General features: G+C 41.1%; 1 protein-coding gene across 2 annotated transcripts in view, besides 3 other annotated features; it reads left to right on the top strand.

Annotated features, from left to right (window-relative positions):
• Positions 2,692-3,583: an enhancer, noted in NCBI's record as "H3K27ac hESC enhancer chr4:119756637-119757528 (GRCh37/hg19 assembly coordinates)". NCBI's record gives its function as "activates a minimal SCP1, AML or CMV promoter by ChIP-STARR-seq in primed H9 embryonic stem cells {active_cell/tissue: H9 hESC(primed)}" and the evidence as "EXISTENCE:reporter gene assay evidence [ECO:0000049][PMID:30033119]".
• Positions 2,776-3,265: a silencer, noted in NCBI's record as "silent region_15652". NCBI's record gives its function as "represses an Ori minimal core promoter by ATAC-STARR-seq in GM12878 lymphoblastoid cells {active_cell/tissue: GM12878}" and the evidence as "EXISTENCE:reporter gene assay evidence [ECO:0000049][PMID:35858748]".
• Positions 2,777-3,071: an enhancer, noted in NCBI's record as "tiled region #11880; HepG2 Activating DNase unmatched - State 1:Tss". NCBI's record gives its function as "activates a minimal TATA promoter and a strong SV40 promoter by Sharpr-MPRA in HepG2 cells {active_cell/tissue: HepG2}" and the evidence as "EXISTENCE:reporter gene assay evidence [ECO:0000049][PMID:27701403]".
• The window catches only part of SEC24D (SEC24 homolog D, COPII component), a 113,304-nt gene continuing 91,860 nt past the window's right edge, over positions 2,939-24,382 (top strand). Inside the window, exons 1-6 of one of the 2 annotated variants that reach the window (NM_014822.4) lie at positions 2,939-3,124; positions 5,328-5,486; positions 14,316-14,445; positions 21,653-21,801; positions 23,339-23,614; positions 23,910-24,037. In NM_014822.4, the coding sequence (NP_055637.2) occupies positions 5,369-5,486; positions 14,316-14,445; positions 21,653-21,801; positions 23,339-23,614; positions 23,910-24,037 (801 nt within the window). In that variant the 5' untranslated portion in view covers positions 2,939-3,124; positions 5,328-5,368. Of the gene's footprint in view, positions 3,125-5,327; positions 5,487-14,315; positions 14,446-21,652; positions 21,802-23,338; positions 23,615-23,906; positions 24,038-24,382 lie in introns of both variants that reach the window. The other variant, NM_001318066.2, reaches the window with a different exon arrangement.

Below are 24,382 nucleotides of genomic sequence, written 5' to 3'. Positions count from 1 at the left end.
CTTCCCATCATCCCCGTTTAACTTGACCTTATTTACTCCATTTCCAGGTATTTAAAATAGTCCAGGATTTGGCCACTTCAATTTTTTTTTTTTTAAATAAAGCTTCTTCAAGCTGTTTTCAGCTTTGGAACCAGAAACCTCCAAACTTTGTAAGTTACATAAATGCTTAGTACATCATAACCTTCAAAAGGTTGCCAATTAGAAGAAATCTTAAGCATTGTCAGGAAATTCCTTCTCTCTATATATAGCCTTATGCATAGTAGACTTGTTGCTTTCTTTCCCTTTTAAAGTTGGAACATAGAACATAAAACCCCAGTACGTCGGCATTGTGAGGTCCTTGTGACCTCACCTTTCAAATAGGATATGGTTACCTGGGAAACTAAGTTAATTACATATGGAACATCAGAGGCTAAGCTCAGGTGGCAACAGGATGGGTCAGATCAAGGAAGACTGAGACTCCGGACCAAGCCTCACGGCTGGTGAGGGCCAGGGACTCAATCACAGGAACAAGGTTAGGAGTTAGTCACCTAAGGCATAGGCACTTGGGGACAGGACAAGAGAAGCAGGACGCAAACCAGAAGCCCGTTTCATTTAAAAAAGAGATTCATGATAAGTAACTCCAATTGTTGGTGGAACTATGCAGTCAGTTAATAGTTATTTGAGAACTTGAATATAAGGCAGTCACAGGAGAAAAAGGCAGAACTAGTTAAAAGAGAACAGCAAATCAGAGTATCAGAAGGTAAAAAGCATAGGGAGGTGAAAAGAGCTTTGGAATTGGAAGGGATGACTTCCAACTAGCTATAAATGACTAGTAAGCCTTTTAAATTTTCTCAATAAACCTTTCTATTAATCCATTAGATGATTAAATTGAATTCAGTTCTCACTGAATATTGAATTGAATACTCATATCGCTAAAGTCCCTTCCAGATTTTATTTTTTGTTTTTTTGAGACAGAGTCTGGCTGTGTCGCCCAGGCTGGAGTGCAGTGGCGTGATCTCTGCTCACTGCAAGCTCTGCCTCCCGGGTTCACACCATTCTCCTGCCTCAGCCTCCCGAGTAGCTGGGACTACAGGTGCCCGCCACCATGCCCGGCTAATTTTTTGTATTTTTAGTAGAGACGGGGTTTCACCGTGTTAGCCAGGATGGTCTACGATCTCCTGACCTCGTGATCCGCCCGCCTCGGCCTCCCAAAGTGCTGTGATTACGGGCGTGAGCCACCGCGCCCGGCCAAGTCCCTTCCAGCTTTAACATTTAGGAATTAAAAACTGTTTTAGAATTGAAACCACAAATTGTCCTGGTTTCAGACAAGTTTGGTACCTGAGCAGGAGGTGAGGATGTATTTACAATTCAAAAGTAGTGGTTTTATAGGGGTAACAAGTCAAGCAGGTCATCACATGGTGTGACTGTTTCTGACTTTACTCTCTCCTATCTTTGTATCATAGCTTCACTCGCTCCTTGTAATGTAGCTGTTATATGACAAGTTCTTTCACTGCTTTTACAAGCTGTACTGCTTCAACACCGGCCAAAACTTCCTAAACTTCCACTGAACATTTTCATCACATTGAGAATACAAGAAACAATTTAAAACAAAAATTTCAATGTGGGTTTTCAAACCTGATCAGTGTTGAAGCTGGATGTAGGCCAGATATCTTACCTTAAAATCTTTTTTTCTTTTTCTTGAGACAGGGTCTCACTCTGTTGCCCACGCTGGAACGCAGTGGTGTGATCATAGCTCACTGCCTCCTGGCCTCAAGCAATCCTCCCTGCTTGGCCTCCCAAAGTGCTGGGATAACAGGTGTGAGCCACTGTGCCTTGCCCCATGCCTTAAAAACTTTTAAGAGTGGGATAAATGGACCATATATCTTTACTGCTAAAATGACTTAAAATTCCTGCACAATTCATGTAGCATTTCGGGAGTAGCAACATCCCCATGTACGTTTTTACCTAGGCAGTTCATCAGTAAAGGTATTTGTCAAGTGGCTTTCTTGTAGCCGGGAAGAAAGTGCATGTTAAAAACAACAACACCGGGCTGGTTTTTACTTTGTAAGTTTGAGCAAAGTGGTAGCTATACCAAACCTGGGAGTGGCTGAATGTCTTTCTATTTAGCAGTGAAAGATGATAGGAAACCAGCCAGATGGTCCTGATTTTAGGGTGAGATAGAGAGGTAAGCTCCAGATCTCATATAGGTTGCCTTTATTTCTGAGCTGTTTCTCACAGGACGGTGAGCTAAACGCTGGGTGCTTTTCCATGCAGAGATTCCTGTTTGGGGCTGGGATCAGCCATCCTACTTCACAAACAAGGAATATGCGGAAGAAGGAGTATACACAACGCTAACAACCCCAATATCAATGGAAACCCCACTTCCCACACTTTTCCTTTGGGACATCTCCCCCACCCCCCACTCCTCCCGCGTTACACGTTGCCAGGCTGCTTTGGGCGTTCCTTCCTCTGTAGTGCATTGCACGGGTACGTCATCAAATGTGCGTGTACACGTGCCAGATTCGCCTTTAAACGGTAATCTCCCCTAGGTCCAGATCGTGTACTTTCCCGTATGTAACGGTAGTGCAGTACCTGAACTATTAGTTATTTAAGTAATACGTAATGAATGAAGAGCTGAAACTGCAACCTGTTGATGGAAGAATGAATGAACGCGCTCCCCTCCTTCCTGCGGGGCTGCGCCGAGAAAATACGGTTCTGATTTAGCCACGACGTTAAAGGCTTTGACCTGTAGGGGGAGGGGAAAGAAAAGACGGGAAAAAGAAAACCAAAAAACAAAAAACCGGAAAAAGGGAAAAAGCGAAAAGGGGGAGGTCGCTCGGCCGCTCGCAGGCTCAGCCCGGTGGCCCCGCCCCGCGGCGGCCGGTGGCTGTGCGCGTGCGCAGGCGGGAGCGCGGCGGCTGGTCCAAGCCCGGCGCTGGGGGCGCGCAGCCGAGAAAGGGTTTGACGTGGCAGTTCCCAGCCCAGCTGCAACTCCGAGCGTGAGTCCAGGCTAAGGGGACGCCGGCCGGGGAAGAGGCGCGGCGGGAGAAGCGACCGCAGCGGGAGCCCGGCCACCGAGGGCTGCCGGCACTAGGCGCAGAGCCGCCAGCGCTCGGAAGCCCGCGGGGTGCGGGAGCGGGAACAGGTAAAGCCTCCCACCCGCGGACGCCTTCATGCGGGACAGCCCTGCCCAGGCACAGCGGAGCGGGTTGCGGCGCCCGGCCCGGGGACGCGGCGGGAGGCCGGGTGCTCACCTGAGGCAGTGGCGGCGGGAGGAGAACTCATTCTTTGTTCTTTAGCCTTCTAGTGCAGTTTAATAGTGGGGCCGGCGGGATGGGGGAGCAGGAGGTGGGCGTGGGCATTTTTTACCCGCCCCCACCTTTTGCCTTGGGATGCAGGAACTGCCTTGTTAGGATCCTCAGTGGCCACCATTCGAGTGTCATTGCCAGCGGTTTTCTCATCTCCTTATCAACTTAATTTCCTTTTTTGAAGGAAGGAAATGTTAGAAATATTCATGGTAAAAATGGCAACTATATCTTGAAGCCTCGGGACATCCGAATAGTGAAACTGATCTGGCCAAATACGAACTTGTTCCAGGGTTAGAAGTGCACCTTGGCTAGAGTTGCTGGGTGACAGTGAGCCAGGGGGCCGTTCTGGGGTTGGGGCTCCCCAGATTTTGATCCTAGGCCTGCTTATACCAAGTGGCTTTCTGCCGTGTCGCCGCTTGAAGCTGAGTCAGGTTTCTTTAACTTGGTGCTCTGTGTGAGGAAGTTTGACGTGGCAAACTGGGTTGCGTGAGGAAGCTGATTCCTCTGAGGACCAGTTCAGAGGGAACTGGCTGCTTCCTGTTCTTTGGAGTGACCATCTCAGCCTCTCTTTTCTGTCACTCAGCAACAGGCTGCTACTTAGGTGTGTTCGTGCCGACTTCCTAAGTGCTCTTGGTTGGATGAGCTTGACCAGCGCTCAGGCTGCCACGTCTCTCTCTGCTAAGTGGGAGGAGGAAAAAGGGGTTGTCAGAAACAAAGTGGACCAGAAGGCCTTTGCCTGCCTCTCTCCTCTTTTTCAGTTCTCCCCTTCCCAGGAGAAGGAAATGATCTCATAATATTTTTACATGGTTGCTTTTATTTTGGAAACTTATAGTTTAATATGGAAACAAAATCAAATCACAAATTTTAGGCTTCAAATTTTTAATTTGAAATGTTATTTCTTGAATATAGACAGATTCTAAGTCTTAGCAGGTATCACTGATCTCTTATCTTAAATTGTAGCAAATAAAAGAACAAAAGGAAGAATATGCTTGTATGGGGCAAATAAACTGGAGATAAATTGTAGAATCAGTGGAAATCTGGAAAGGCTTCATTTTCTAAAAGAAGGAACTGAGGCTTAGAGAGGTTCTTCAGCTCATTCCATGTCACACAGTTAAGTATGGCAGACATAGAATGGAAACCCACTTCTCTTGCATTCAAAGCATTTTCTGTCGTATTTAATTTTTTTTTTTAAATCATCAGTCCTATGAAATATCTCTTATTTTGTTAAAACCTGGAAAAAATAGAAAATTTAAAGCAAATTTGGGTTCTGATTAGAATCAAGATTTAAAAAAAATCAAGATGAGTCTGTTATATTTGTGATGTGTGTGCCTACACACTTACAAAATTACACTTTTTTTCCTTAGTCCCCTAAATATAGGTGCATATGTTCTTAGAGATGTGATATGATTTAAATTAGAAAGAAATTCTGTCGCCTTTGAAAAACCACTGACAACACTCAAGTGGTTATAGTGACCACCTGGCTCGGTCAAATTATGACTCATAAAATAAGCCCATTATCAACGTTGTCTGTTGCTATGTTTGTTGGACTATGATTTCTCTTTGTCCTAATGACTAGATTAAAATAATTAATTAGATGAGCACTAAAAAGACGTAAGTCATAAAACATCTGATTGCAGGCTACTGGCAGTTATGGTGGTCAGTCAATTGAATGGCATGGTGTGCTCTGTGCTGAAATGTGACCATGGAAACCAAAAGCACAAAATCATAGGAACACTATGAGAGACTATCTGTGAGATGCTTCAGGCTTCCATTAAAAAAGTGGTTGCGAGTTATTATTCAGGTCTCATGCTTGAGAATTTGCCCAGGATTATTGAAGTGATTTACTGAGTTTCAGAGAGCTATGGTTAGGCCCTTTTTAGGGGATAATGATATATTGTATAATACAAAGATTTCTCATGTACCTGATATCTGTACTTTTCCTCAAACCATCATAAACATGTAATAACAGTGTTTATATTTTTAATAGCTTTACGTAACTAAAACTGTCTTGGTAACATGTTTCTTGTTTCTCTGTTGCAGACTTCTTTTGTAGAATTATCCTATGGAATGATATTTTCATAATGAGTCAACAAGGTTACGTGGCTACACCTCCGTATTCTCAGCCTCAGCCTGGAATAGGCCTTTCTCCACCTCATTATGGGCACTATGGGGATCCGTCGCACACAGCATCTCCAACAGGTACAGTGTGTTATTTTGACTTGTATGTGATTATTCAGTTCTCAGGCTCAGAGACATAAGATGTTCTGAAAGAGGAGATTTGAAAGCATTGAATGATCATTATATAATGAAATGGCTTGAGATTACAGGATCATTTGGAAAAGGCTCTCATAGCAGAACTCTACATCACTAGTTTGGTTATTGCATGCAATACAAGTTTGGTTTTTAAATATAGACTAAAACAAACACTTCCTGTTTTATTTTTACTGTGAGTCTTGTTCTTGCTGTTAATTAGTGGTGTAAGGCTATTGTAAACATTGAATAAAAAAAGAATTAAATTTATAAATGAATTAAATTCACATATCCTTATCTAGGATTGGCCCTAGATAAATCTGTACATCATGTGAGGATAATTCTTTGTACAATTCTTTGTACAAATGGACCATGTATAAATCAATGAGTAACTCTCAGGGCTCACTGGAACTAGCTTAGATATCTGGGATCCAGGCTGTGCTAGGTAGAATGTATATAGTGCAGAATCAGCAAGGGGTGAGGACTCCCTTTAGTGAGGCTTGATGTTAGCAGCCACACACAGTGTGCTGCAGAAGATGCTCTGAGATTGTGAATTTCCTGTGGAAAGTCAGTCTTATGATTTATTCTTCCCGAGATTTTAAAGATGTCCAGATGAAGCATCCCTCTTCTTGTTCAGGACCATCCTCTCCAGAATGTTTGTAATCTTGCCTTACTGGATCCTGTAGAAACCATTAACCCCTTCAGTTTCTAACTGGTGGTTCATTTCTCCTCAGCATTTATTTATAATGATAATTATAAATTATTCCTTTTTATGATGTGTCGAAATCTGGCCCTAAAAGCTTTTCCTGTATTGTCTTATTTAATCCTCATACAATGCTATGCAGTAAGTTATTTTTGCAGCTAGGAAAACTGAATGTCTGGTGTCATGTGACTTGTCTAAGGTCACAGACAGCAAGTAGTAGCACCAGGATTCATACCCAGATCTCTCAAGAAGGCAAAAAACAAATTGCATACACACCTAAGTATAACACTCTATATTATTCACCCTTCCCTCTTCACAGGCATCTTCTTGAGAAAGTACTCACTATGCTTGGTAATCTCCACCTTTACCTCTCCTTCCCTCCATGGCTCAGCATAGTTTACACTCCATAGTTTGCCACCCCATCCACACTTTCACTTCCCTCACCAGGACTATCAGTGTCCTATTTCTCAATGCAGTAGACATTGTGCTGTCTGTCCTCTTTTGTATTTGACTCTGTTTACCACTCTCATTTTTACAAAACTCTTTTCTCCTTTGGTTTCAATGACACTATCCTTTTGTTGTTGTCTTTTGAGGTGGAGTCTCCCTCTGTCGACCAGGTTGGGGTGCAGTTTTGCGATCTCAGCTCACTGCAACCTCCGCCTCCTGGGTTCTAGTGATTCTCCTGCCTCAGCCTCCTGGGTTCTAGTGATTCTCCTGCCTCAGCCTCCTGAGTAGCTGGGATTACAGGCGCCCGCCACCATGCCTGGGTAATTTTTGTATTTTTAGTAGAGACGGGGTTTCACAATGTTGGCCAGGTTGGTCTCGAACTCCTGACCTCACGTGATCCACCCGCCTCCACCTCCCAAGGTGCTGGAATTATAGGTGTGAGCCATTGTGCCCATTTTTTTGGGTTGCTTTCTGGACATTTCTTTTGAAGGAATTCTTCTACATGACTCTTAAGTGTTGCTGTTTCTCCCTCCATGTTCCATCTTCACTACTGTTATCCCACTCTGTAGATTTTTCCCTAAGCTGGATCATTCACAGAAAGTGCTTGTCTCTCAGATCTATTTCTCCAGCCCAGATGCCTCCCCTAAGCTCTAGACCAGGGGTATCCAGTCTTTTGGCTTTCCTGGGCCACACTGGGAGAAGAATTGTCATGGGCCACACATAAAATACACTAACAATAGCTGATGAGCTAAAAAAAAAAAAAATCAAAAAAATCTCATAATGGATTAAAAAAGTTTTCAAATTTGTGTTGGGCCATATTCAAAGCTGTCCTGGGCTGCGTGTGGGCCGTGGGTTGGAAAAGCTTGCTCTAGACCCATATTTCCAGTTGCCCACCTTTGTTGAGGCACGTCACAGTCACCATGCCCAAAACAATTCCATATTCATCATGGAAGCCTATGTTTTCTGGCATTTCAAATCTCACTCATTAGCATCATTTATTTCGTGATCCATACCAGAAACTTTATTAAAAAAACAAAAAAACAAAACTTGGTGGGGTGTGGTGGCTCACACCTGTAATCCTAACACTTTGGGAGACCAAGACAAGTGGATCACTTGAGGCCCGGAGTTTGAGACCAGCCTGGCCAACATGGTGAATCCCGGTCTCTACTAAAAAAATAGAAGATAAAAATTAGCTGGGCATGGTGGCACATGCTTGTAATCTCAGCTATTTGGGAGGCTAAGGCATGAGAATCGCTTGAACCAGGGAGATGGAGGTTGCAGTGAGCCAAGATCACGCCACTGCACTCCAGCCTGGGGAACAGAGTGAGACTCTCTCAAACAAACAAGCAAAAAAACCTCTCCCTCCTTTTTATCTCCTCCAATGTAATCGGTCTCCCAAATCTTTTTGGAGTGATTGTAAACAGCTTTCCTACCTGCTTTCTCCTTTCCATTCTCCTGTCACTCTTTTTGTTCAATCCATCCATCTCTCACATGGATTACTAAAATGATCTTGTAACTATTATCCCTCTCTCCAATACTGTCTTTTTCCAAACCATCAACTCCTGAGCCAGAGGGATTTTTTTATACCATGCAAATCTAATTTGAATTCTTTTGTATTCTAATACTTTTTCAGGCCTCTATACTATTTGCCATACTGTGTTATAATAGATGTTCCTATAGTAGATGTTCCTGGAGCAGAGAAGGCACTCATGGCTGTTTTTAAAAAAAAAAATTTTAATTGGCAAATAAAAAATTATATATACATATATATATAATGTACAACATATTGTTTTGAAATATGTATACACTGTGGAATGGTTAAATTGAGCTAATTATAAATGTTTATTCAATGAAGTGGATGACAAACTGTAGCACTCATTAGCAAAACACTCTGGTATTTACCAATATTTAATTAAATTAAATTAATTAATTTATTTGAGACAGGGTTTTGCTCTGTTGCCTAGCTTCCAAGTAGCTGGTAGAGATGGGATCTCCCTATGTTTCCCAGGCTGGTCTTGAACTCCTCAGCTCAAGTGATCCTCTCGCCTTGGCCTCGCAAAGTGCTGAGATTATAGGCGTTAGCCTCGGCACCTGGCCTTACCAGTGTTTTTAAAAGCTGTCTTTGTTGGATTAAATCCTTCATGCTTTAGTTTAAACTGCTTTCTCCTTACTTAATGGCTATTAAATATCAGGTGAATAACCAGGCTATTATACTCTCTGCAAATATATCTTTCTATGCATATTGTGGTGTTTTGGTTTAATTATTTAAGACTTTCACTAAATTACTCCAGCTCTTATATCTCTGATTATATTCTGCTGAATAACCTTAGATACCTTAATCTTCAGTCTTCCTGTGTCTTCTTGTCTAGCCTTTTAGTGACGCTTTTATTGGTCTCCTGACAGACACAAGCAAACTTATTGTGGTTCTTTGAAGTATCTATTCCACTGTAGATCTGGCCAGTGCTAACTCTTGCTTTGTGTTGCTCACATTATCGTATCTCCATTTATGCTTATTCATTGTGTTTTTGTAAAGCTAGTGCTGTATACTAACACTTTTTTTTTTTTGAGACGGAGTTTCGCTCTTATTACCCAGGCTGGAGTGCAATGGCACGATCTCGGCTCACTGCAACCTCCGCCTCCCAGGTTCAAGCGATTTTCCTGCCTCAGCCTCCTGAGTAGCTGAGATTACAGGCATGCGCCACCACACCCGGCTAATTTTGTATTTTTAGTAGAGACGGGGTTTCTCTGTGTTGGTCAGGCTGGTCTCAAACTCCCGACCTCAGGTAATCCACCCGCCTCGGCCTCTCAAAGTGCTGGGATTATAGGCATGAGCCACCGCGCCTGGCCCCTAACACTTTTTTTTAAAGAGACAAGGTCTTGCTCTGTTACTCAGGCTGGATTGCAGTGACGAAATTATAGCTCACTGCAGCCTTGAACTCCTGGGCTCAAATGATCCTCCTGCCCCAGCTTCCCAAGTGGCCAGGATTATAGGTGTGCCCACCATGCCCAGCTAATTTTAAAATTTTTTGTAGAGATGGGGTCTCACTATGTTGCCCAGTTCTGTCTCGATCTCCTGGCCTCAAGCCATCCTCCTGCCTTGGCCTCCCAAAGTGCTGAAATTACAAACATGAGCCACTGCACCCAGCCACAAATTTAACAATTTATTTGATGAACAAAATAATTGTGGTAATATGACACTTAATAAAATAAGCCTAATCTCAGTCCTCATAGTATTTACTTAGCTAGTGAGAAATGCACTAAAGAAATTAACAATGACAATTTTGTGGGGAAGTACTATTGTAAAGGAAGTAGAGGGTGGTATGGAAGCACGTGGCAGGGGCACCTAAACAAGACTTAGGGTGGAAGGGCTCCTTCCCGGAGGGAATGCCCTGAAACATGAGTGAGAATTGGCCAGGTCGGGAAGCAGTTTGCTGGGATTGGAAGGCGGTACTTTTCAGGACCTGCAAGACATTTGGCATAGCTGGGGAATAGCATGGGAACGGTGAGAGATGCCATTGGCGGGGGAATGTGGGATCATTTTAAGGAATTTAGACTTTATTGTAAGGGCAGTAGAGTACCACTGAAGTGATTTAGTCTGGGAAGGGTCACAATCCAATGTATGTACAGTTTAGAAAGCTACATAGAACATTACTAAGTGTGGAGAAGGAATTACAGCTGGGCATACTGCTCTCTGCAGCAGGGTTTTTCAGCTTCAGCACTATTGACATTTGGGGCCAATTAATTCTTCGTTGGGGGAGGGTAACAGAGTGCCATCCTGTGCATTGTGGGATATTTAGTAGCATCTTTGGTCTCTATCCACTGGATGCCAGTAGTACCTCCCCCAACCTTCTGGGAGTTGTGGCAACCAAAAATGTCCCAAACATTGCCAGATGTCCTATTTTAGGGGCAAAATCGCCCTTGCTTGAGGACACTGGTCTGGAGACTGAGAGTTAAGAAGTATTAATGTAAGGCCGGGTGCGGTGGCTCACGCCTGTAATCCTAGCACTTTGGGAGGCTGAGATGGGCAGATCACGAGGTCAGGAGATCAAGACCACCCTGGCTAACATGGTGAAACGCCGTCTCTACTAAAAACGCAAATAAATTAGCCGGGCGTAGTGGCAGGCGCCTGTGGTCCCAGCTACTCGGGAGGCTGAGGCAGGAGAATGGCGTGAACCTGGGAGGCGGAGCTTGCAGTGAGCTGAGATTGCACCATTGCACTCCAGCCTGGGAGACTGAGCGAGATTCTGTCTCAAAAAAAAAAAAAGTATTAATGTCCTGAACCTAGAACAGGGGCTGTGGGGTGGTGATAGGGCTCCTAATAGTGAGCTTATATAGGTGGATCAAGCATGGTGCTTTAGGGACCATGGTCATTACAATTCTACCCATATAATAGGGAGCTTATCTTTGTTTATTTTAGATAAACATTTTCCCCCCCCAACAAATGGCTTTTAATTTTGGTTTTAGTTTGTCAGGTCCAGGACCAAATTCAAGGCATGCTATTCTGTGATGTGGTTTGGTCAGTGTTACTTTGCTGATAACAGTCCCCTTTAGTGGAAAGGGATTTGTTAAAGGGTATCAGGAAGCAAACAAAACATCAGAAAAAGGCAGAGAACCAGACTTGGGAGTATGTGGTCCATGAAAATGAACATTCCCATGCAGGACCATTCCACCAGAAGTCACCACCATTCTCTCCCAGGAGAATCATCTCTGCCACCAGGCTGGCCAGAGTCTCCCAGAGGTGTGCTGCTTTGCTGAATTTAGAGCATATGGCAAAACAAATTGTAAGGCAGTCTAGGAATTTTCACTTTTCCACCTCAAGACCTTATATTAATATTAATAGAAAAGTCAGAAAGGGATTGGAATTGTTGTGTTTACTGGTCCATGGTATCTGCCGCTGTGTGAGAGACCAACTTGTGATCTTAGATTTTTTTTGGTGGGGGGTGTCTTAAGAACAGTTCATTCTCATTGCACGGTGTTCCTTTCCTATTAAAATTCTCATATTGCTCTATAAAGGACCTGATTCTGTTTGTGTTTGAGTACTTTTGAAAATGCCAATAACATGGCTGGGGGAAGACTATGACTTTGCAGATATCAGTGATACTGACTTCCCTTTGCCCTGGGGGTGAAGTGCAAGTGACACATAGGACTTTGCAGTCTGACCCCAGCCAACCTGGACAGCTTCCACTCTGGCTACTTTCCCTCCCAGCCTCTCCACACCAAGCCTTTCCCCTGTCCTGGTCGTGCCATCCTCTCTCATGTCTTTGCTCAAGCTTTGCTTTCTAACTGGAATCCCTTATCCTGTCTTCTATATGAAGAAAACTCCTGCTTGTCCTTCAAGATTCAGCTCAAGCAGTCCTCCTTCTTTGAACTCTTCTCAATTCCCCCAGGAAGAGTTAGGTAGTCTCTCTGCATATTGTAACAGTCATCCCAAGACATTGTAATGATTTGTTTACATGGTTGTCTCTTCTCTCAAATGGCTCAAAGGCACCTTAAATGTATGTTGAATAATAATGAGAATGATTTGAGAATGCCACAGAATGATTTGAATCACTGCCATAGAGTTGATTCCCAAACAAAAGGGAGAGCACAGTAATATTGATGTATAAAGTTCTGCTTGCATATATCAGAGCTTTTTTTTTTAATTCTCTAGACATGTCTATAGGGGTTTTCATGAAAATTGCTGCTATCCTACTTATTTTTTTAAAGGGGGAATATTTTTGGAGAGCTGTGAGGCAAATTTAAAAAAAGAAAAAAAAAGACCAAAAAAAAAAGAATATTTTCGACTTCTCGTAGTGCATGTAATTATTTAAGTTGAAAATATTTTAATGCTACTGTTGTGAATTGCCTACTTTTGTCCAAAATAATGTTTTTAAAATGAAAATATAAATGTGCTTGTAATTATGTTGCATATGCTTTGTTAGAATAAAAATGCTTAAGAAAGGAGAGCAGGGGCTATGGCCAGGGAAGATGAAACAGCTGTTTTAAAAACCGTCATATCCATTGGTTCATTTAATTCTCAGAACAATCCTTGGAGCTAGGGAATATTATTGCCATGACATGGGATTACAAGTTGAAGCTCTGAAAAATAGAGTATCTTATCGGAGTCACAAATTCAAACTTGTCTGTGACTGCAAGTCTCATGTTTTTCTAACTTTGCTGGGTTTGGGGTTTAGAACTTTGTATTAAAGTGTAGTGCTATAAGGATAATATTTATTGAAAATAGTGGTATATGAATTTGCTAAGTAAAACTATGTAGAATTAATATAAAAATGTCCTCAGTTTAAGGAATCCTATTTTAAGAGAGGAAACCTTGTAAAAGTTTCAATATTATTCATGAAGACCGGCACTTCACTAGATACCTGTCATTTTAGATTATGCAAACATCTGAAAGCATTCTCTCGAAAGCAATTATGATGACAATATAAGAAACTCTTCCTGGGTGACTATACATCATCAGTCAATTCCTTTCTATCTGAGAGAATAAACTTTCTGGAGGAATATAACAGAATAAAGGAAATGTTAATATGAAATACTATGACGAAGTCAAAAGGAGGAGTGCACAGCAGGCAGCTAGGTGGTCATTGATGACCTTGCCAGAGAGCAGGGTATGGTCAAAAGTAAATCAAATGAGGGAAAACAAGCAAGTGGAGACAGCAGATAGAAGAACTGAAGTTTTTCTCTTTTTTTCTTTTCTCTTTTTTTCTTTCTAGAAGCTAGAAGAGGTCTCAGGTAATCTAGTCTAAGCCTTTCATTTTACAGGAAGAAAACTGAGGTCCTTAAAGATAAGCTTCTTGCCCAGGTTCATACAACTAATAAGTAACCAGTGGGGCCTTGAACTACTCTAACCCAAGCCCAGTGATTTCTCTCCTTTACTGCAATTTCTCAAGAAGAAAAGAGAGAAATGTCTGAAGACAGTTCCAAAGAGAAGTCTTTAAAGGTCTCTATTTGAGAAGAGCTGCTAATAAATGAAAACACAGACATTCCCAGAAGCATCCGTTAACTGCATGTGGTCCCATATTTTGTCTGAGCAAGCATGGTGAATCTGACTCTGTGAGTGAGCAGTCCCCCAGCTGTTCATCATCCAGCCAGTTAGGATTCTGGAAAGATTTTTAAGCTCTGAAGGAAGTGCTCAGGATTTTTAGAAAGATAGACCCTACTCCCCATCTGCTTTTGTTGTGCTGTAAGTCAAAGGCATTTCTAGTGTTCTCCCCCATGCCCCGTTTAGTTACAGTTAGAATGCTTTACCATGACCCTTCCTGCTTTTTCCAGGTTTATTTTCTGATATCTAACTGCCATTTTTCATTGCGTGTTTTAGTATTCTTTGCGTGGTAATATACTTTATCAAGGTGCCTCTGTCATATGCAAATTTATTTTTTTCTGTTTTAGTTTCTGTTTAGTGATAAAATGATTCCCTTCTTTTCTGCTCTTTCATCATTATGATAGTCAAATACTCATGCCAGAGCCTGGTATTGACAGGTCTGTAGGTGATGGTTAAGCTTGAAAGAGATTTTGTTCTAATCCATTTGTTTCCCTCCTCCTCCACCTAGTTCTCATTTTTAACCTAATGACTTTGCCTCATCTCTCTTTGTACTTTAATACACTTCTAAATTCATGCCCCTCTCTTGCAGGTATGATGAAGCCAGCAGGGCCTTTGGGGGCCACCGCCACTAGGGGAATGTTGCCTCCGGGTCCCCCACCTCCTGGACCCCATCAGTTTGGTCAGAATGGAGCTCATGCCACTGGTCACCCTCCCCAAAGGTGAGCTAGGTAGATTCCAACCTTCGTTTGTATATTCTCCTAAAATTATTTCAGAAATACCTTCTAAGCTTGTATGTTTATTGGTTGAAAGTTTGACGTTTTGATGATGTTACACACCCCTGAAAGGATCTGTTAGATAACTGCCCTAGGAAACAAAGCAATAAGAAAAGTTATGGCTGGGCATGATGGTTCACGGCTTTAATCCCAGCACTTTGAGAGGTCGAGTTGGGCAGATGGCTTGAGCCCAGGAGTTTGAGACCAGGCTAGGCAACATAGTGAGACCTCATGTCTACAAAAATAGAAAAAATTAGCCGGCCTGGTGGTGCATGTTTGTAGTCCTAGCTACTGGAGAGGCTGAGATGGGAGGATCCTGTAAGCCCGGGAAGTCAAGGCTGCAGTGAGCTATGATTGTGCCATTGCACTCCAGCCTGGGCAACACAGTGAGACCCTGTCTCAAAAAAAAACAAGAAAAGTTATGAAGAAAAAGACAGTATTAGTAGGTATTTAAAAATGTATCAAAAATTACTTGTGTCAATACCATACATGTTAGTTTTGAGTTATATTCAGTTTATTTTAGAATTTTATATCAATTTTAATTCCTTTAGATGCCCATGGCCTTTATTCTTGAATAAAACTTTAAATCATTCTATTTTCTTGGATCCTTCACAGAACTGAGCTCAGTGCCAATGGGTGCTTAATAAGTATTTTAAAATTAAATCGGATTGTCGCCAATGGGTCTGTGAGCTTGATGTGGAAGGCACACAGATGCCAGTGAGGGATTATCAAAAGGCAGAGCTGTAGTAAAAACAACACAGGAAATAAATCTTGTGTTTGTGTTTATAATAAATTGAGGAAGGGAAAAGTTGGAAGCAGGCCTGGAGAAGCCAAGATGTATGAAATATTTAGAGCCTGCAGCCCACTAGGGACTAATCCCTGGGAAAGAAGCCAGTATCACACCTTCCCTGTTAGAAATCCCATTATTGTTTATCCGGTGAGGTGTAGCTGCTGAGAACCTGTGCCAAGCCAGTGCCAAGCCGCAGGCAGTGTTTGCTTTGGAGTTTCTCCAAGGATTACCCAGAGGCTTCATTTCTCAGGTTCCTTCCCAGGTAGCAAGGTTTGGGGGTGGGGAGGCATGGGCAGTACCCCCTAGATGTGACTGTAGATCCTCCTAATGGTGAAGCCTTTTAGTCATGGCCTTTCATGAAGCCTATAGTCCTCCATAATAGGAAAACTCCCTCTGGGATTTTTTAAAGTCATCAGGTTAATTCTCCTACAGGGCATTTGTGAGCTTGGCACTGGCTGGCTCTTGTTTGTCATGATAACATGACATTTGCCGGTTGAAATGGTAGCTATGGGATGCAGAGGGTAGGTCATTAAGCGTGATTGTGGTTTAAGCTTGGAGCAAGAAGTCAAAGGGTCTTACTTGGGACCTGAAACTACTGCCCTGAGTCTCAAAAGAGTGATAGAAAGGCAAGAGAGGAAGAGCAAAAAGACGGAGAACCAAAATGCCTCTTCTGGTTCAAGCAGTTTACTAACTGTGGACACTGGTGAAGTTCCTTGACCATGCCTGTCCTCATTTTCACTTGTAAAATGAGAATATAGAATTCTCAGTCCAGAAGTAAAGGGGAGAAGATCTGGAAAAATTCATTGTTGCCGGGTGTGGTGGCTCACAGACTCACTTGTAAAATGAGAATATAGAATTCTCAGTCCAGAAGTAAAGGGGAGAAGACCTAGAAAAATTCATGGTTGCCAGGTGTGGTGGCTCACATCTGTAATCCCAACACTTTGGGAGGCTGACACGAGAGGATCGCCTGAGCCCAGGAGTTCGAGACAGCCTGGGCAACATGATGAGACCCCATCTCTACAAAAAAAAATAGAAAATTAGCCAAGCATGGTGGCATGCACCTGTGGTCCCAGCTACTTTGGAGGCTGAGGTGGGAGGATTGCTTGAGCCCAGGAGGTCAAGGCTGCAGTGAGCTGTGTTCATGCTATTATATTCCAGGCTGGGTGACAGAGGGAGACCCTGTCTCAAGGCAAAAAAAATTGTTGTAAACTTCCAGGCATCTCAGATATTTTTTTTAAAAAGAAAGAAGTGCAAAGATTGAACAGCTGGTTTCAAGTTTAGAAGAATGTTTTGGTCACTGGTATTAGCTTGGAATTGATTGATCTTTTTGGTTTATTGCCATTTATTTCACTTGATCAGGTTGCTTAGGAGTGAGTAAACCATGGACTTTACCATCAAGCAGGCCCTAACTTTGTGATTGTGAGCCCAGCACAGGGTCTGGCCCAGTGAAGAGCAGAGGACTCTAGAGTCAGGACATGTTTGCTAATCTTGGCCCAGACAATTACTAGCTAGATAAGTTACCTAACCTCTGTGTGCCTCGGTTTCCTCATGACGATTTTAACAATAATATGTGGTTGTGAGGATTTTAATGATTAATACATGCAGAGTACCTTACACAGTGCACTAGGGCCCATGGACTCAACACCTTAGCATTTGTCAATATCATTTCCATTGGATCTGAAAAGTCCACTGTTTATAGCTTGTCTGTCCTTCGAGCTCAATCTAGTTACTCATGACAGCTCAGGAATCTCTTGATAGCTTAAAGAATCTGCTTTTGTGGTGATTCCTAGGGAAGTACTGACAGATTTTACTCCCTCTCTTCTACTGTTCACTTGCTACAACTTGCATACTGGATTGAAGGTTAGAATTGGGGTTAAAAAGTGAAAAAGTCAGGGAAAAGTATAGTATTTCAGGCTGAGCCTTCCTGGTTACCATGCTGCCTTGCCCTCATGGGACATGCTTCTGTGAATGTAGCGCAATGCAAGGGTAAAGTGCACCGTGATTGTGCAGGTGAATCACATCAGTCTGATGACAGAGGCTGTCAAAGAGCATAGATGGCATATGACTCTTCTTTGTGGATTCTAGCATTTTATCTGTGTCATTTGTACTTAGTATACCAAAGAAATATTTTAATTTTACTGTATCTAAATTATCAAATAAAAACAAGATATAAATAAGTTACTATGTTGATTTGAATTTAACATGTAAAATTTTTATCTTTAAAATACTGCTTTTTAAATATAATGTTTTATAAAATTTAAAAATCATACCTAGTTATTTGTCTTTTTGATTTGACTGAGGAAGAATAAATGTCTTAAACTTGCAAGCAGTGCTAAAGTTATCTACATAGAGTTACTACTGGGTAGGATATTAAATAAAATCTGCAACCTAAAAATCAGTGTTTTTAATTATAAAATAAAAATTCAATCAATCAAGTTTAAGTGATGTATTCTGATGAAGAAACAGTGAATTTGAGGGAACAGTGGACCCATCTTCCCAAATTGAAGCTGATATGTGTGAATCTACTAAGAAATTGATTTCAACAAAAGTTGAAGGAAGGAGCAATAAAAATAAGAGAAGTAGTTGTTTTTTCTTCAATTTTATTTAGTGTGGAGAACGATGCTAGGATTTGGTGGAACTTTCATTTTTTCTCTATGGGCTAGGTATTCAAAATTCTGATTTTGTTTCAATCAAATCTTGAAAAACTTGGCATCTTAATTCCGCATACAAACTTCAGCATACATCTCATTTCTTGAGCAATTTATTGCAAACTTGAATATGGGGAGTGTTTGAAGTTGAACAGGCCACAGAAAACTGAGTCAACTCTGCAGAGGATTAGGATTAAATTGAGGCTAAATTTTCATGTTTTATTAATCATCTGGTAGTAATTCTTTATTGAATTCTTTCCTATGGTGAATCTGCCCTTCTCTGACATTCAGTGAAATGTAAATTAAAATATATACTTGACATTCAATGAAACCATAAATTAAAATATATAATTGAATGTTTTTCAGTCCAGAGCCATGTTGAATAAAGGCAGTCAACATGAGAAACATTTATTTAACTCTATATGGTTCTTAATTTTAACATTATATTTATAGCGAAAAAAAAAAAGGGATCACTCCATTTCACATGCTCTTTTTCAGAATTTGAAAGCTGAGAGCTACAGAGATTAAGTGGCTTACCTATAGTTACACACCAGGTTTCTACACTAGGGCAGGAGGACCTGGATTCCCACCTCAGCTTTGTACAACATGCTATGTGACTTTCAATAAAGTAATGAAATTAAAAAATATTGGCTGGGTGCGGTGGCTCATGCCTGTAATCCCAGCACTTTGGAAGGCCAAGGCGGGCGGATCACGAGGTCACGAGATTGAGACCATCTTGGTCAACATGGTGAAACCCTGTCTCTACTAAAAATACAAAAATTAGCTGGGTGTGGTGCTGCGTACCTGTAATCCCAGCTACTCGGAAGGCTGAGGTAGGAGAATCACTTGAACCTGGGAGGTGGAGGTTGCAGTGAGCCGAGATCTTGCCATTTTACTCCAGCCTGGGCGACAAGAGCGAAACTCCGTCTCAAAAAAAAAAAAAAAAAAAATTAAACTAATTTGTATGTTTAAGATGTTCTTTCATCTCTTCCCTCATTTATGTGAGGCATTTATATGAGGGGTTTGTTAGCCATTTAATACTATTCTATTTATTTTAAAATTGATAATAATTGCTTTTAAAAACCAAATCTATTTAAGACTTACCATATTTAAGTTGGTCAGAAAGAAATAATTTATTTGTGAATTTCTGAAACCTAACTCCTGGGGTATATGTTAGGCACTGAATCATAAGTAGGCATTTATGAGTTGAAAGTAATAACTGATGGTTATATAGTCTCTCATTCTCTATTTTAAATCCTTAACCTTTGTTAAGTTAAAAAAAATACTTGAAGCTGCTTGTGTTATAACTCCTGTTTGAAATATATTTTGTCCTACCTGTATTGTAAAAACAAAAAATGATTCACAGAACTGTATATTTAAAAGTACTAGCATTTATGAAACACCTTTGAAAATGTTTTGGGGAGGTTTTTTCTCCATATAAATGCAACATCCCCAGTTTCTGCTTATCAAATCCAACATCTGTAACCATACCTCATTGCATCCATGAATATATTCTATAGTACATGTATATTCTGCCTGTGTGTAATTACTTCATTTATTCCCTATGACAAACTTTTTTTTTTTTTTTTTTTTTTTTGAGACGGGGTCTCCCTGTGTTGCCCAGGCTGGAGTGCAGTGGCGCGATCTTGGCTCACTGCAAGCTCCGCCTCCCAGGTTCACGCCATTCTCCTGCCTCAGGCTCCCAAGTAGCTGGGACTACAGGCGCCCACCACCACGCCCGGCTAATTTTTTGTATTTTTAATAGAGACGGGGTTTCACCGTGTTAGCCAGGATGGTCTCGATCTCCTGACCTCGTGATCCGCCCTCCTCGGCCTCCCAAAGTGCTGGAATTACAAGCATGAGCCACCACGCCCCGCAGACAAAGTTTTTTTAAAAGACGAAAAAGTATTATTTCTTAAAAAGAAGAAATGTTTTCGTCTTAGGAAACAATGGATTTACAAAACAGACCTTTAATGTAATTCTTGAAATCATTTTTTAGTGATCACAACATATTTTAAATGTGTCATGCAGGACTAGAATTATATTTTTTGTGCTTGTGTTTCACCAGTGTCATTAATTGATTAGAGATATAAAGAAAACTTTTACTGTGAAAAGTTAATGTTTGTATTTTCTATCTTTTATTCATTTTCTTCCAAAAAGTATTTAAGTCAAAGGGTGCTTAGCCTAACTGTGTTGGGCTTTTTGAAAAGTTTGACAGGAGAGAAATTGGATAGTTTTGTTTAACAGTATTTTTGGGTTACAATGTTATTCATTCCATTATTTCTAGCCAATTTTCTGCTATAGGATAGCTTGTACTTGTGCGTACAATGGAAAGAATGGAAAGACCATTTTCTTTTTTTTTTTTCTTGCAACATGTATTTTATTAGGCAGCCTTTCTGTATCATTACAGAAGAGTCCTAAATTATAAAGTCAATTCCGGCTACCGATAAAACATAGACTGCAGAAATAAGCTGTTCAGAGGTATGAGTGGAAAAGAGCATTTTCATCACTCACCTATTTATCTCAAAGTGTGAGATACTATTCTGCAAATATGCTTAATGTCATGCACTCAGAGTAATGGTTGGAAGGTTAATTTTCTGTTTTGTTTATAATAATTATTCAATTTAAACATATGGAGAAAAATGACAAGATAAAATTAGTGTGATGCTTTGAATAGTGCACTCACTGAAGACCTGGAAAAACGCTGGTCCTAGTGTTGTCACAAATAAATTGTGGGACTTCAGGCAAGCACTGGCTTCCCTCAGGCTCTGCTCCTAACCTCTCAATGGCAGTAGGGGGCAGAAGGCAAGACATGGGCCATGGGGAAATAGTTTCCAGTTTTCAGATAGAGAAATTGAAATCAGAGTATACCATTTGGGAAAACTTAATTTAAAATTTAAAATTCATAAGAATTTATAATGTGACTCTCAGGCAGGCTTTAATCGCATTTGGCAGATTAACCATGCTAGGCACATTGTCCAGATAGCGGCCATTGTTTAATGCAGAACAAGAAAAAATAAACGTCTAATAAGTTCAAGCTAAATCAAAGGTAAAGCATGATGTAATTTTTAGATTTTTTTTTTTTCTCTTTGGGACAGGGTCTGGCTCTGTTGCCCAGGCTAGAGTGCAGTGGTGCAGTCTCAGCTCACTGTAGTCTTGACCTCCTGGACTCAAGTGATCATCTTACTTCAACCGCCCAAGTAGCGCCACCACTCCTGGCTAATTTTTTATTTTATTTTGTTTTATTTTTTGTAGAGAAGGGGGTCTCACTATGTTGCCCAGGCTGGTCTTGAATTCCTGGGCTCAAATTGTCCTCCCACCTCAGCCTCCCAAAGTGCTAGGATAATAGGCATGAGCCGCTGCTCCTGGCTGTATTGTTTTCTTGATTTTCATTCTGTTGATGATTAACTTTAGTATAGATAAGGCTCTGGTTGGCTCAGTTTCCCAAATTGATTTCCAGAACTGGTTTTATGCTCACATTAGGATTTTTTTTTTCTGTCTTGGCATGTTCAGCATGTGAGCATAAATATAAGATGATGCTACATGATCATATTGAGTTCATGTCAAGCTTAATTAAAGATTTAGTATATAATATCAGTCATTTTCCTAGGCCTACTAGACAGGCTTAATTTAATTTTACAAGCTATTAACATTATTGTACGCCATTTGCTTGAGACGCTGTGATATTGTTTGACATCCTGTTTTCCTCTCTCAGATTTCCAGGCCCTCCACCTGTCAACAATGTGGCATCCTCACATGCACCATACCAACCCTCTGCACAATCTTCTTATCCAGGTCCTATATCCACTTCATCTGTCACCCAGCTGGGCAGCCAGCTCAGTGCTATGCAAATCAACAGCTATGGTAATAGTTTTATTATTAGTGTTTATTGACTGCCTTGTGTCCTGGTCATTTTTAATGAGAGAGGTTTTCTTCATTTTTAAAATAGATGTAACTAGGGCATACTGTGTTGAAGTAGTATTTGGACATTTTTAATAATAAAGCATCTATCTTATGTATGGCTATAGTTAATTGTTTTCTTGATCATGCTGCCACTTATTTCAAGGTAATTGAAGGACCCTCAGAATACCTTCCATTCAATGATTGAACAATAAGAAAAGACAAAAAATGCTGATTTCACAAATAAACATTAGAATAGTGAAATTATTTTAAGAAATAAATAAGGATAATTTAAACCTTGTATTGTTTATGATGGGGCCCCCAAATCAGAAATATAGTACTCATTGTTTCACAGTGCATTTTAATTATGTGTTTAGATCATGGAAAGAGTGGAAGCTCAGATGTTGTGAGGCAGAAAAGAGAAGATAGGAGAGGAAAGAGTCACAGTACTGAGATTTACATCAACAGAAATGCTGTATATCCTGTGAGTCATGGAAAGCTCCACTGTAATGACAGCACAGTCGGCCATTTATCTAGATGAAGAATGTTTCCATGTTACTTAAAATTAGTTTTCTGAAGTATCATTAAAACCCCTCTATTTTCTGTCTTTTACTCATTTCAAAATGGATAAGTCTCCAAAGAAGCAACCCAGTTTCCCATAATCAGAGAAAGGAAAACATAATCTGGTTTTACAGCTATTTCCAATATGATTGGAGAGCATGTTGGTGGCCCTTCTCTTGTCTCTGGTTATTTCTACCTAATTCTGAAATTTGTTTGGTCAAGTCACGCACAGGATGCAAATAATTTATTGAATGTGCAATTTACCTGAGTAATGCTTGTTATGTAATAGAATTTTTATATGATTTTCTAGATTTGTACCAGATACAGATGCTTTAATTAATGCATATATCATGTAATTACACAACTGAGTTAAAATTTATTCTATGAATTCCCTTACTTAAATTATAAATGTTGCTTTTACCTTTTAAAAATTTTCCAGGCCAGGCATGGTGGCTCACACCTATAATCCCAGCACTTTGGGATGCCAAGGAGGAAGTATTGCTTGAGCCCAGGAGTTTGAGACCAGCCTGAGCAATATCACGAGACCCCAACTCTACAAAAAAAAAAAAAAAAAAAAATGAACTTGGCGTGGTGGTGTGTGCCTGTAGTCTCAGTTACTTGGGAGGCTGAGGTGGGAGGATCACTGGAGCCCAGGATGTTGAGGCTACAGTGGTCCATTATCTTGCCATTGTATTGCAGCCTCAGTGACAGAGCAAGACCCTGTCCTTAAAAAAAAGAAAAAATCCCAGTTGTATAAAATAGCGTTTGTTCTATTTTCTGAATGAAGATTTCAATTTGTGGCAAAAAACCCAAACATGTGTTTCTAAGGGTGTCCTCTTGCTTTATGTCAGGAAAACAAACATCTCTGTCATGTACTTTGCAGAAGTCAGAGAGTTGAGAAATGTGGTATTTAAGTGGGCTGGTCTCCTTTCTCACACAGGTTCAGGCATGGCTCCTCCAAGCCAGGGACCCCCTGGCCCTCTGTCAGCCACATCATTGCAGACTCCTCCACGACCTCCACAGCCTTCCATTTTGCAGCCTGGATCTCAAGTTCTTCCACCACCACCCACCACACTCAATGGTCCTGGTGCCTCACCTTTGCCTCTACCAATGTACAGACCAGATGGGCTCTCTGGGCCTCCTCCTCCAAATGCCCAGTACCAGCCCCCACCTCTTCCAGGCCAGACCTTGGGTGCTGGATATCCTCCGCAGCAGGGTAAGGCGGACAGGGTGCAGGGGAAGGCTTTGTGTTACCCAGGGGAACCCTTAACTGAAAATCAGCTTTGTTCCTATGTTACTAGGTATCTGTCACTTACTTTTAAGAAATGGTAGTTTTTGAAGAGTTTTGGCAAGAGCAAAGAAATGGGGAACCACACTCATACTTGACTCCTTGCTTTTTTTAATAAGATGAAAAATACAACATGCTTGACTGAACAGCATAATATCGTCAACAAGTCTTACATGCTGGATTTGGGATGATAGTCATTTCTCTTTAAATTTTTTCCAAGCAGCCAACTCTGGTCCCCAGATGGCAGGCGCACAACTGTCTTACCCAGGAGGCTTCCCTGGAGGTCCTGCACAGATGGCTGGTCCGCCACAGCCCCAGAAGAAGCTGGATCCTGACTCTATCCCTAGCCCAGTAAGTACTCTTCTCACTCTCACAGTCTCACTCACAAAGGAGCATTAATTTTTCTCAGCAACTCATCAGTTTGTTAGCATTTATCCTGTTCATTAGCATAGAAGTTAGGAGATACTCATCACATAGAGGGAAGGCTTCCTTCCTTATATGCATGTATGGGGGAAAGCATGCTAGGGTTATGGGCATACTAAAGGTCTCCATGAAAGAGCAGCCTGTGCTGATTTTTTTTTTCTTTTTTTTTGGTGTCATATAAACTTGGCAGTGTCTACAATGTTTACATTGACATATTTTGGCAGTATCGCTATCTAATGAGTAATTAACAGACTATATCCTATAGAAATATGC

The sequence above is a fragment of the Homo sapiens genome, chromosome 4 (assembly GCF_000001405.40).
Source record: "Homo sapiens chromosome 4, GRCh38.p14 Primary Assembly".
Taxonomy (NCBI): Eukaryota; Metazoa; Chordata; class Mammalia; order Primates; family Hominidae; genus Homo; species Homo sapiens.
The sequence above is the reverse complement of the archived record's forward strand: the minus strand, read 5'-3'. Positions and strand labels throughout refer to the sequence as shown.